We start from the raw sequence: 14,041 nt of genomic DNA, 5'->3' as shown, positions 1-14,041 counted from the left end.
GCGCCACCACGCCCGGCCAATTTTTGTAGCATTCGAAGAGATGGCGTTTCACCATGTTGGCCAGGCTGGTCTCAAACTCCTGACTTCAAGTGATCCACCCACCTCAGCCTCCCAAAGTGCTGGGATTACAGACACGAGCCACTGCGCCTAGCCTCATTATTTGTTTATTATTATTATTTTACTATTGGTTAGCATGAGAATTGTGGTTATGTTCATGTCATGAAGTTCAACTGCCTAAATTCTATCCCAGCTCCGTCGCTTATTAGCCCTGTGAGCTTGCGTAAGCCATCATGGATCTTTTCAAGCCCAAGTTTTCTCAATTATTAGATGGGATAATATTGGTCCCTATGCCTTAGTCTGTTTCATCTGCTATAACAAAATACCTGGGTAACTCAAAAACAACAGATATTTATTGCTCACAGTTCTGGAGGCTGGGAAGCCCAAGATTAAAGACACTGACAGATGAGGTGTTTGGTGAGAGCCTGTTTCTCATCCATGGTGCCTTTTATGTCCTCACATGCTGGGCACATGCTCAGCTGGAAAGGGCAAGCAAGTTCCCTAGGGTCTCTGAGCACTGATTCCCATTCATTCAGGTGCCGACCCAGAGCCTTCATGACCTAATCACCCGCGAAAGGCCCTGCCTCTTTTTTTTTTTGAGATGGAGTCTCGCTCTGTCACCCAAGCTGGAGTGCAGTGGCATGATATGGGCTCACTGCAACCTCTGCCTCCTGGGTTCAAGCGATTCTCCTGCCTCAGCCTCCTGAGTAGCTGGGATTACAGGCATGCGCCACCACGCCTGGCTAATTTTTGTATTTTTGGTAGAGAGGAGGTTTTGCCATGTTGGCCAGGGTGGTCTCGAACTCCTGACCTCAAGTGATCCGCCCGCCTTGGCCTCCCAAAGTGCTGGGATTACAGGTGTGAGCCACTGTGCCCCAGCCGGCCCTGCCTCTTGATATCATCACACTGGGGACTCGGTTTCAACATGTGAATTTGGGGCGGGGGTCGGGGGCGGCACAAACATTCAGACGCTAGCACTATATAAAATCCAATGAGATAATACATGCAATGTGCGCAGCACAGTGCCTTGCGCACAGCGGCTTAATAAACCTTGGTGATTATTATGAGGCCACCAAACCAGGGATAGGTCGTGTGGTCTGCCTAAGGTGCGCAGGGAAGGGTAGCAGATCCCGGCCGGGTCTGACTCCTGGATCCTTGCCTGGGACTCTTTCACTGTCCCCCCAGTCCCCCGCACACACATGCACACGATGTTACCCCGCGTTCGAGTCGTGATCGACGGGCAGCCAGCTGGACCTGAATGTCATTCAAATGATTGCAGGCTCGAAACCAGGGGTGGGGGGGCTCTCAGGAGAGGATTTGGGCCCAGAAGGGGACATGCAGGGGGAAGCCAGAGAAGTGAGAGGGAGATCTGAGTGGTGGGTGCCCCAGCAGCGTAATATGGCTCCATTTCCAACCTGGAACCAGGTTGTTGCCTCTCCAGACATTTTGTGTCCGAAGGAAGGGGAAGGGAATTCAGTAGACATTCTTTGGAGGAGCCTCTTGGACTTCGGTGACTTTTTCTTGACAAGAACCATGGTCTCCTAGGGCAGAGCTGCCCACATGCTTTTCTGGGAGGTCCCGGGCTCCCCAGGCTCCTTGGAGTAGAAGGAAGTCTGGGGACCCCCGAGAGCCTGCCTGAAATTCCTGGCTTGAGCTCACGGGGGAGCTGGTGAGCTGTGGAGGGAGGCAGCTCCCGGGGTTCTTGCGGGTCCCTGCAGCACGGGAGGACCCTCCAAGGCCCTGGGCACCCATCCTGGTCAGACCGTCCCCTCCCACCAACTTTTCTCCTTGTCTCTCCCAGAAGGGTGCCCTGGGGAGACCCTCTCCCCAGAGGCTGGGACTGGGCAGGAAGGTGGGGCAGCTGCTCCCATCCTTTCTGCCCCGCACAGTTCAGGCAGTTCATCTTCGGGCAGGAAGATGAGGTTTCGAGGTACTTCCTGGGCTTGCGCTGACGTTTTTGACTACCGTCCCCGCCCCCACCCCGCCCCACTCTCTAGTTTGGCCTCTGCTGGCTCCAAAACCCTCTCAAATATCCCACGAGGGTCATTAGTGGGAGACCTTTGTTCAGTTCATTCATTTTTTAAATCAATGCTATATATTTTTTTAATGCTCGGAAACAGTGTTTTGATGTGAGTTTATTACTTGAAGAACTGCAGGACTTTGTACAACAAACTGCCTGATACTAAAGTTATATTAACAAAGAGATCAAGAAATGACTGGCTGTGTGCACAGAGGCTTAAAGGTTTAGTGTGGCTGAGATACTAAACGTCTCTCTTTCCCACCACTTTATTTTATTTTTATTTTTGAGACAGAGTCTTGCTCTGTCACCCAGGCTGGAGTGCAGTGGCATGATCTTGGCTCACTGCGACCTCCATCTCCTGGGTTCTCATGCCTCAGCCTCCCAAGTAGCTGGGATTATAGGCGCATGCCACCATGCCTGGCTAATTTTTGTATTTTTAGTACAGATGGGGTTTCATCTTGTTGGCTAGGCTGGTCTCAAACTCCTGACCTCAGGTGATCCACCCGACTCAGCCTCCCAAAGTGATGGGATTACAGGTGTGAAGCACTGCACCCAGCCTCCCATCACTTTATTTTAAAAGTGTATTTCCAAATCCTCGTCTTCTACCTCGGGGTGGTCGTTCCAAAATGTTTTATTTCTGAAGCTTCCCAGATAAGCAGCTACAATTTCACTCTTTCCTCCCCAGCTCACTGGGATGCATTTTTTCTTCTTCTTTTTTTTTTTTTTTTTTTTTTTGGTGGAAGGAATTTTTTTTAAAAAAACTAAGACGTACCTAATTTCAGTAAAGAGTAAAGTACACAAATCTTAAGTGGAGAGCTCTATGGATGTCTCCATTTGTCTACACACTCATAACTACCACCGCATTCGGCTATGGAATATTTCTAGCATCTGGGGTGCAGAGTTTTTTTTGTTGTTGTTTTTTGTTTTTTTTGAGACAGAGTCTCACTCTGTCGCCCAGACTAGAGTGCAATGGCCCGATCTCGGCTCACTGCAACCTCTGCCTCCCAAGTTCAAGTGATTCTCCTGCCTCAGCCTCCCAAGTAACTCCTGACCTCAAGTGATCTGCCGCCTCGGCCTCCCAAAGGGCTGGGATTAGAGGCATGAGCTGCTGCACCCAGCCTGGGATGCAGTGTTTTTTTGTTTGTTTGTTTTTGTTTTTTGAGATAGAGTCTCACTGTCACCCAGGTTGAAGTGCAATGGTGTGATCTTGGCTCACTGCAACCTCTGCCTCCCAGCTTCAAGCGATTCTCCTGCCTCAGCCTCCTGAGTAGCTGGGACTACAGGCACATGCCACCACGCCCAGCTAATTTTTGTATTTTTAGTAGAGGCGGGGTTTCACCATGTTGGCCAGGCTGGTCTTGAACTCCTAACCTCGGGTGATCCACCCACCTCAGCCTCCCAAAGTGTTGGGATTACAGGCGTGAGCCGCTGTGCCTGGCAGTTTTTAAGGAACACTGTGTTTGTCTATTTGGGCTGCGGTAACAAAATACCTTAGACTGAATGGCTTAGAAGCAACAGACATTTCTCACAGTCTGGAAGCTGGGAAGTCCATGACCAGGGTGCTGGCAGATTCAGGGTCTGGCAAGGACCAGCTTCCTTCACAGATGGACGTCTTCTCCCTGTGTCCTCACATGGTAGAAGGGGTGAGGCAGCTTTCTGGGGCCTCTTTGATAAGGGCACGAATTTCACTGGCGAAGTCTCCAGCCTCATGACCTCCCAAAGGCCCTACCTCTTAATACTTTTGCTTTGGCTTTTAGTTTCAACATGAATTTGGGGGTGAGGACACAAACATTCTGATCATAGCAAGCATCTCCTTGAGAAGTCCACCCAGGTGGAACATTCGACGTGAGCCAGGAGCTGTGGTGATGCTGGGGATGGGGTATCGAGGGTCCTGGGCCTCTCACTGTGCTGTCATCCTGACGCCCAGCTCTGGTGTCTCAGTTCTCAGCAGATGGATAATCCACACACTCTGTCCTCAACTCCTCGTCCAGCCATGTGGAGTGAGAAGAAGGTGGCCCCTCCTCCTCCATGCATGAGCTTTTTGAGGTTGTATTCTGATTTTTCCCATTAGGGAGATTGGCTACTTCACAAAACCTTCAGCAGCCAAGGTGCCATTTTGCCTATGTCCGATTCTGTGGCAGAGTTGGGAGGAGTTTCAGTGGAGTTGTCCATATTTTTATATTCCTGCCTATTCAGTGCAAATCATTTTGCTCAGTTTACCACTAACCCATCACTTTTAACAAACTTTGTATTAGGACAATTTCAAAATATTCCGAAAAGTAAAAACACAACCATAACAAAAACATTACCTTGACTTAATAATGAACACTTTGCCATGATTCATTTCTCTGCTCATGTTTTGCTGGCAAACTATTTTAAAGAAAATCAGACATAATGCTTCACCTAAAACAAGGACATTTAGTACACCTAATAAAATGAACAATAATTCCCAATATCATCTAATACCTACTCCATATTCAAACTTCCCAAGCTATAGAACATTTTGAAATGTCCTTTTTTAAAAAAATTATTTGTTTATTTATTTTGAGACAGAGTCTTGCTCTGTCACCCAGGCTGGAGTGCAGTGGAGTGATCTCGGCTCACTGCAACATCCACCTCTTGGGCTCAAACGATTCTCGTGCCTCAGCCTCCCAAGTAGCTGGGATTACAGGCGTGGGCCACCAGGCACAGCTAATTTTTGTATTTTTAGTAGAGACGGGGTTTTACCATGTTGGCCACGCTGGTCTCAAACTCTTGACCTCAAGTGATCAGCCTACCTTGGCCTCCCAAAGTGCTGGGATTACAGGCATGAACCACCACACCTGACCTGAAATGTACTTCTAAAAACCAGGATCCAATAAAAAAAAGTTGGCATTGTAATATCTCTCAATGTAGACCAATCTTCAATCTATTTTTAATGTAGTGGCAATACCATTTTGAAGACACTAGGCCAAGTATTAGTGTAAAACGACCCATGTTCTGGATTTGTTTTATTGTTTCTTCTTGGTGTCCTTTAACTTGTATTTCCTTCACTTCTGAGAAGGAAACAATATTACTTATGCTGACCCTTCCCATTAGTCCAAAGGTTCCTGAATTTTTTCAGTTCATGATATCCTTAGTGTCTCAGTAATTTTTTCATGGTGTCCTTCGATCAAACAAAATCGAACAATTCCATATATTAAGTGATTAGGTCCAAACAACTTTATAAGTATTTGTGTCCTAATTTAATAAATATTAGCAGCCATTGGGAAAAAATGCATACATAAATTGAAAGAAAAAAGAGCATTTCTATTTCAGTGTAAAACAACCAAAGCTGCTCACTACTGAGGTGTGTATGCTCATGGAAATCACGCAGCTTCCCAGACCTTGGAATCAGATTGACATCACCACCCTGATTTCCTGTCCCACACAAGTACCCATTGATTTTTGTGTGGTACTTACTTTTTATCACAGCAATCACCGAAAACCCAGCTGTGCGAAGATATGATTCCATCAAAAGGAAGGTAGCATGACCAAGCTTTGAAACTGTGAACTACCTGGAGCTGGTTCACACATTGTTAATGACTGCTATCTAGCCATTGAAGATTTAAAATATTCAGCCTGGGCGCTCTGGCTCACGCCTGTAATCCCAGCATTTTGGGAGGCCTAGCAGGGTGGATCACCTAAGGTCAGGAGTTCAAGACCAGCCTAGCCAATGTGGTGAAACCCTGTCTCCACTAAAAATACAAAAATTAGCTGGGCGTGGTAACCGGCGCCTGTAGTCCCAGCTACTCAGGAGGCTGAGGCAGGAGAATCTCTTGAACCTGGGAGGCTGAGGTTGCAGTGAGCCGAGATTGCACCACTGCACTCTAGCCTGGGTGACAGTGCGAGAGTCTGTCTCCAAATAAATAAAATAAAATAAAATAAAATATTCGATGGCATGCCTGTGAGTTTGCTGTGGCATCTGGGTGCCTGGATGGACAGTTTGGGGACCACAGTACAAGTGCAATGTTTGGTAATTCCGGTTGTAAGGGTTACAAGCTAATTGAAGGCAAAGCAAACACACATATATTTGTCTCAACTAAACAAACAGAAAACACCACTTCCTTCTCTCAAGCAGTGATTCTTAACTTTGCTATGCTTCAGAAACATCTGAGAAACTTAATAAAATGAGCACTCCAGGCTCTGTCTCAGAAAAACTGATAGAGTAGGTTGTCAAAGTTATCCAAAGACCATTGAGTTGGGGGGAGGTCCCCAAGACCACTCTCAGGTTCCCTGATTTGCTAACAGGACTCACAGAACTCAGAAAAGCTCTGAGTTATACTCAGAAAGGATCCAGATTCAAACCAGCAAAGGTGCATAGACAGGCACGGCTTCCAATTGTCCTCGCCCAGTGGAGTCATGTGAACGGCACTTACTTCTCCCAGGAGCAGTGGGAGGCAACATACATGAAGCAACCAGGGAAGTGCAACGAAGTCTTGGTGTCCAGGGTTTTTTTTTTTTGAGACAGAGTCTCTCTCTGTCGCCCAGGCTGGAGTGCAGTGGTGCGATCTTGGCTCACGGCAACCTCCACCTCCTGGGTTTAAGCAATTCTCCTGCCTCAGCCTCCCGAGTAGCTGGGAATACAGATGCCTGCCACCGTGCCCAACGAATTTTTTTTTTGTATTTTTAGTAGAGACAGTGTTTCACCGTGTTAGCCAGGCTGGTTTCTATCTCCTGACCTCATGATCCGCCCACCTTGGCCTCCCAAAGTGCTGCGATTACAGCGTGAGCCATTGCGCCCGGCTTTTTTTTTTTTTAAATTGAGGATCATTCACATAGGTGTGGAACATCCATATGGCTGATCTTAGTGACTCAGTCTCTAGCCCCTCCAGAGGTTAAACTGATACCATATGGCCCATGTCTCCAACCATAAACCACACTGCCTGCATAAACTATCTGGCATGGCCCAGGCCTCAGCATGTAAAGACAGTCTGATTGGGCTGGATTTTCTGAGGGCCTAGAGGTCATCTCCTAGGATCCCATCAAGGGCCAGACCAGTCTATGGAATGTGCAGGGTTTGAACACTCCATGTTTTGTGTGTTCAAAGCCATGCACAACAATGCTTTGGGAAACACTGATAGACACCCAGGCTCTCGGGCTGCATTCAGTTAGGTCTTCAGAATGTAAAGGGGGCCAGGCACGGTGGCTCACGCCTGTAATCCTAACACTTTGGGAGGCCAAGGCAGGTGGATCACTTGAGGTCAGGAGTTTGAGACCAGCCTGGCCAACATAGCGAAACCTTATCTCTACTAAAAATACAAAAATTAGCCAGGTGTGGTGGCAGGCGCCTCTAATCCCAGCTACTTAGGAGGCTGAGACAGGAGAATTACTTGAACTCGGGAGGCAGAGGTTGCAGTGAACCAAGGTTGCGCCACTGCATTGCAGCCTGGGTGACAGAGCAAGACTCCATCTCAAAAAAAAAAAAAAGGAACATAAAGGGCCCTGGAGGCCAGCCTTCCTACAGTCTGAGTAGAGACAGTGCCTTTATTCTCCGTGACGACTGATAGGCCACCTGGCTGAGTGCCATTGTCGTGTCTCCAGTGGTCAGAGACCTTATTCGTGGCTCTGTTAGAGGCGGGCAAGTACGGATCCAGGAAGTAGATCTTTGAGAATGTTTCATTCCACAGGAAATATATAACTCCGCAAGTTTTTTTTGCTTTTTTTTTTTTATTTCCCTTAGCTATTAGAAAATAGATGCCAAACTCTCTGCCAGTGCCTGACTTGGCTTGGGTGCCTGGAGCTGTTTACACCCTCCGAGTTCCGTGGCCGTCTCTGCTCTGTTCCACCCATGGACGTCTGACTTTACAAGTTATTACCCCTCAGGCCACCTCAAGGACTTTCACCATCAGTTTAATGACCGCAGAGGTGGGTGAGATCTTTGGGAGCAGCCCTGGTCAGCCCTCCTGGCATAGATAGGAAGCAGGCTGAGGGGGAATGGGGATACCCAAGCTGACAGGATGGAATGAGGACTGTCTTTGGACTCCCAGTCCAGTGCTCTGTCCTCCTCAAAGCCCCTTTCTTGGTCAGGAGCCCCCAGCCTCAGGCCCTGGAACCTTTCCATCAAGCACACCCCAGATAAATCTTGTCGGGGAATAAGGGGCCATTGGAGTTTCAGGGCAAACACCAATGAACTGTAAAATGTCTCATACTCAATGTCCTCATATGCGTTAGGACAAATCCTCTTTGACAGATGTACTAGTCCATTCTTACACTGCTATAAAGAAATACCAGAAACTGGGTAATTTATAAAGGAAAAATGTTTAATTGACTCCCAGTACTACATGGCTGGGAAGGCCTCAGGAAATGCACAATCATGGCCAAAGGGGAAGCAAGCACATCTTACATGGTGGCAGGAGAGAGAGAAGAGCGTGTGAAGGAGGAACTGCCAAACACTTAAAAAACCATCAGATGTCGTGAGGACTCACTATCCCGAGAACAGCATGGGGGAAACCACCCCCATGATCCAATCACCTCCCTCCCTCCACACGTGAGGATTACAGGTCCCTCCCTTGAGACGTGGGGACTACAATTTGGGATGAGATTTGGGTGGGGACACAGAGCCAAAGCATATCAACAGAGTCCACTCTCAGGGAAGAAAATGGGAAAAAGCAGGAAAAGAAGGGCTCAACCGCCAATGAGAGATTCATTTCAGTGGCCACTGAATGCCCCTCACCAACTCCCATACTTGCTGGCCTAGGACTTCTCGTGTGACAGTCACTGAGCTCCAGGCTGTGCCCGACCCAGAGAGGAGCAAGCCCAGCCCTGCCCTCAAGTTCCTCCAGCAGCTGAGAGGGGAGAGGAATAAGCAACGCATCTTCAGGGCACGACTTGCTGCCAGGGTGGGTTTAACGGTGTTACTGCAGTTTTTCAGGGATATGGAGTGATACTAATTTGTATTCCCTACTCCACCCTACACATGTCAAATGAGGCCATTTTCCCCAAGTCTTGATAGGTAGGAGGAGTTTGGGCTCTTTTTCTATGAAAAATCAATATCTCCTTGGAGAATTATTAAAATTATAAATTGAGGCCAGGTGCGGTGGCTCACACCCACAATCCCAACATTTTGGGAGGCCGAGGCAGGAGGATTGCTTGAGCCCTAGAATTTGGGACCAGTCCTAGCAATAGAGTAAGATGCCATCTCTACAAAAATTAGCTGGTTGTGGTGGCATACGTCTGTAGTCCCAGCTATTTGGGAGACTGAGGCAGGAGAATTGCTTGAGCCCAGGAGGTCAAGGCTGCAGTGAGCCATGATCACGCCACTGTACTCCAGCCTGGTCAACAGAGCGAGACCTTGTCTCAAAAATAAATAAATAAATAAATAAATAAATAAATAAATAAGATTATAAATGGAGACGTTGGGACTGTTCTGTGGTCTTTATTCCTTAATAATAGGAAGAATAATAAGAATAACCCTTATGTTTATCAAGTCCTTTCCAGTTCACATATACATTATTTCCACTAAAACTGAAAATGGCCTGTGGGCCCACAGAGCAGGGACCGTCAGCCCCACTGTCCAGGTGAAGAGGTGGGGTCACAGGCCGAGTGAGTTGCTCAGGTCCCCGGGTGTGAGGTGCCGGCAGAGCCACATCCTGCACCCAGTTTTTGTTGGCAGTCCCGGTGAGCAGCGTGTGTCCCAGTTGCCTCCACACTCATGGAGCTCCCTTCTTGAAAGTAACTGGTTGATCAAGTTTAAATCATTTTCCTCGAGAACGTTCATCTGCTTAAACATTTTGGGCACCTGCTGTACACCAGGGATGGTGTGGACACTTCTGTGCCACCTCCTTCGACCTCCCAACACCACCACTGACCACTGGGAGTTGAGTTTGTGGGATGGGAAGGCTAAGGTGCCCTTTGGGGAAGATTTTCTTGGAAAAAAATCAAACATGGTCTGCTCAGCCTCAGGGGGTAGAAGGGGGGTTCCTGCTCCCAAGAGGCATTCGAGCAGAGGCTGGGTGGTCACCTGCCAGGATGTTGTAAGGGGAATTCAGACATCACCGGGGATTGGACTAGCTGGACCCTGAGGCTTCCTTCAGCTCTGAGAGTCTGTGCATTTACGTTTTGGAAGATGCTTCTCAAGAAAGATAGGAAATCGGGTGGGTGCGGTGGCTCACACCTGTAATCTCGGCAGTTTGGGAGGCCGAGGCAGGTGGATCACCTGAGGTCAGGAGTTCGAGGCCATACTGGCCAACATAGTGAAACCCCATCTCTACTAAAAATACAAAAATTAGCCAAGCGTAGTGGTAGGCACCTGTAATCTCAGCTACTCGGGAGGCTGAGGCAGGAGAATCGCTTGAACCTGGGAGGTGGAGGTTGCAGTGAGCCAATGTCACGCCACTGCACTCCAGCCCTGGGCAATGAGAGCAAAACTCCGTCTCAAAAAAAAAAAAAAAAAGAAAGAAAATAGGAACTCAAATCTTCATTTTCACCCGGAGGGAAGGTAGGAAACAAGCTTGAAAGGAAGATCCAGGAGAGAAAAAAATACTCAAAAAGGCACGATTTGTTTTGACACTTGCATGGGTTTTAAGTTTGAACCCAGGAGAGCTTTGAGGACAACATTAAATGAAACAATGGCAGTGGGGTAATAAGTATTAGTCTGCGAGCCTTCCTCTGTTACCAGCTGCCTTTGAAAACCCCGTCATTGCCAGCTGGCTTACATCATCTCCGCCCATGGAAAAAATGCCAGGCAAAGCTACATGATACAGGAAGGGGCAGAAGAGGGAAGGGAGAAGTGAAGGGGGTGCCAGGGTGGCTGCCAGGGTGAGAGACATGGATAGGAGAGAAATGAGGATTTTAATAGGCTCCCAAACCAGGTACAATGTCTCACACCTGTAATCCCAGCACTTTGGGAGTCTGAGGTGAGAGGATTGCTTGAGCCCAAGAGTTTGAGACCAGCCTGGGCAACAGTGTGAGACCCCCATCTCTACAAAAAATAAAAAATTAGCTGGGCATGAAGGCACATGCCTCTAGTCCCAGTTACTTGGGAGGCTAAGTAGTGGGAGGATTGTCTGAGCCTGGGAGTTTGAGGCTGCAGTGAGCCATGATTACACCACTGCACTCCAGCCTGGATGACAAAGTGAGACCCTGTCTTTTAAAAATAAAAATAAAGGCCAAGCGCAGTGGCTTACACCTATAATCCCAACACTTTGGGAGGCCGAGGTGGGTGGATCACTTGAGGTCAGGAGTTCGAAACCAGCCTGGCCAACATGGTGAAACCCTGTCTCTACTAAAAATACAAAAAATTAGCTGGGTGTGGTGGCACATGCCTGTAATCCCAGCTACTCAGGAGGCTGAGGCAAGAGAATTGCTTGAACCCAGGAGGCAGAGGTTGCAGTGAGCTGAGATTGCACCACTGCACTCCAGCCTGGGCAACAGAGTGACTCCTTCTAAAATAAAATAAAATAAAATAAAATAAAATAAAATAAAATAAAATAAAATAAAAATGCATTAAAAATAAAAAAATTAATAAATTATTAGAACTTGGTGTTGGGCTCTCCTTCAGAGTGCTGGGGAAACAGAAGAAAAACACACTGGACTGTGCTTCTCCAGCTGCACAATGGCTCGAGACTGGACCATGTGGGTGCTGGAGAATGTAAGAGTTACTTCATTGATCCTTGGGCTTCATGAGGAGAGAGGCCTGGGGAATTGCCACTGGGGAGGAGTTAATGCTCGCTGCTGTAGGAGGTGGGGTTAAGAGGCTTCTTCTTCCCGTGATTTACCTTAGGAATGGCACTGTCCTTGTGGCTGCAATTCCTGAGGCTCTTCCTTAATGACGACCCCCACTGTGTAGATCACAAAGACTTTCCCTTCCAAGTGGCCTCCCGCCAGCCTCACAGCAAGTCTAGAAATACACACACCAGGATCAACATGCCCATTAAGCAGATGGAAAAAGTACGACTCAGAGGCATCATGTGACAGCTACATCAGGAACACGGTGGCATCTGAGCTCACTTTATCTGACGATGAATCGGGCACCACTGCTTGCCCCATGGATGCCAGGCTCTGTCCATCTGAACTTGGATCAGATTGAACTCGGAGTTGGTTTGGCTTCACTGTTCCCAGAGCAGCTCTCAAGTAACTTTGGCACTCGGGCTGAGTTGTCACTCTGGTTTCTTTCCGTGACTTTCTTTGCTTGTTGTCGGCACTTTTAAAAGACCTATTGAATTGTTTGTGAAAATGAGCGACAGTACATTTGCCAAAGCATCATGTGGGTGGCGGCATTCTGCTATCTATTCTGCACACCAAAGCAATGATGCTGCTAATTACATCTGTCCCGTCTGGCTGTACCCGTCTGCCTCTCTGCCTGGCTCAGCACTGTGACTGTTTATGGTGTTCCCAGCTTAGACGTGAGAGGGAGGAGGGCCAGGGAGTCAAGGGCTGTATCCTCTCCACGGTGTTCACACAGAGCCAGGAAAGGCTGCTGTGGCTGAAGTTCTGATTTCTCGTTTTTTTCAGTTGTTGATGGGAGTTGGGGTAGAAAGGGAGGAAGATGTTGCTCCTTGGAAGCAAATGGCATGGGGAAGACACCCTGAATTACAACTGAGAAATGAAACCTCTACAGTTTAACTTGCAGCAAGTTCAAAGGATGTGTTAGGAAAAATTGCAGGTGCTGGTTCTGTGGTATTTGGGGTTTAGATGAAAAAAATAAGTAAACAAACTAACTTCATAGCTCATCTGAAAGAGGGCCTGGCTCAGAGATCATCACTTCCCACAAGAACCCCCTTCTATGGGTCCAAAGGAGGCAAGGATGATGGAAGGAGACAGAGGGAGGGAGAGGGGAAAATCACATCTATTTTTTGGAAGAACGTCAAAGGGAACTCAATAAAGACCCATCCCGTTCACCCAGCTTTCTCTATAGAAACAGAGCTGAGGACTGGATCTGCTATTACATCAGAGATGGGGCAGGAGGAAATAATTTTCTGATGTTCCAGTTTTGCTCAAGTTCAGGCTGTAGAAACCACAGTTTCTTAAGAGGTGGAACCGGTTCACTGGACTTTTTTTTTTTTTTTTCTGTGATGTAGGAAGAAAGGTTCCAAGATGCTACAAACCCTGCAACACTTACTTTAAGTATCCCAGAGGTCTGGAGTGGGAGGAGGCTGGCTGACCTCTTTACTTCTTCAGTTCAGATGCTTAGGGACAGAGGTCATGTGACACCTGTTCCTCTCCCCCCGCCACGCCCCTGCCACACACACAGAGAGACCTGCAGTGAGCAGGGGGCTCTGATGCCCGGTCCTGTGACCTTTCCTCTGCACCTTTGGGTCTATGTAGATTGCAATTTCCTGCTCACCCTCTCTGGGGCATCCCCTGCAGTGCTGACTTCTTTAACCGTTGGCTGGTGTGGCCAAGCGTGCAGCACACAGGCTGTCCTGCCCTGAGCTATGATTCTACATGAAGCTTTCCAGTGACCTCCCTTTCTGCCATTTATTCTGTGTCCTGCAGAATAGCTTTGATTCACAATGAGTGACACGGATCTATAGGAATCTGGAATCTGTGGCAAAGAACAACAGGACAGGGTACGGCATCAAAGGTTAAAAGGGCTGGAGGTGCCTTTTTGAGACGGTTTAAGGAATGGGCTAGATCTATGGCATTGTAGGGAGAAGTGCAAGCCCTCTGTCATCATCAAGGTATCATGACCATCTCCAAAGTGTGTAGGATGAAGCCACCTATAGGAAAGGTGGTGGGAAGAACTGGGAGCCAGAGACACAATATGCCCATGGGGTTTGAAGAGAACCAAGGGCTGTAAAAGACAGGCTTGCAAATGATCTCAGCTGGAGTGACCCAGCACCGTCAACCTGCCCAGCTCCCTCTCTGGGGAGGCACCCTGCCTTTTATGAAGCCAGATGTGTGTGTATTATACTCATAAGGAAAACTGCAGAACAGGGCTCGAAGGCTTCAACCACTCACCACAACAAATTTAGCAATAAGGACTAATATCTAGAGAGGGTA

At 47.9% G+C, this 14,041-nt stretch overlaps 2 annotated features.

Annotated features, from left to right (window-relative positions):
- Window positions 11,571-12,150: an enhancer, noted in NCBI's record as "OCT4-NANOG hESC enhancer chr10:121239005-121239584 (GRCh37/hg19 assembly coordinates)". NCBI's record gives its function as "activates a minimal SCP1, AML or CMV promoter by ChIP-STARR-seq in naive H9 embryonic stem cells {active_cell/tissue: H9 hESC(naive)}" and the evidence as "EXISTENCE:reporter gene assay evidence [ECO:0000049][PMID:30033119]".
- Window positions 13,500-13,569: an enhancer, noted in NCBI's record as "active region_4120". NCBI's record gives its function as "activates an Ori minimal core promoter by ATAC-STARR-seq in GM12878 lymphoblastoid cells {active_cell/tissue: GM12878}" and the evidence as "EXISTENCE:reporter gene assay evidence [ECO:0000049][PMID:35858748]".

This window comes from Homo sapiens, chromosome 10 (assembly GCF_000001405.40).
Source record: "Homo sapiens chromosome 10, GRCh38.p14 Primary Assembly".
NCBI lineage: Eukaryota > Metazoa > Chordata > Mammalia > Primates > Hominidae > Homo > Homo sapiens.
Note: the sequence above shows the minus strand (reverse complement) of the source record. Positions and strands in the feature narration are given on the sequence as shown.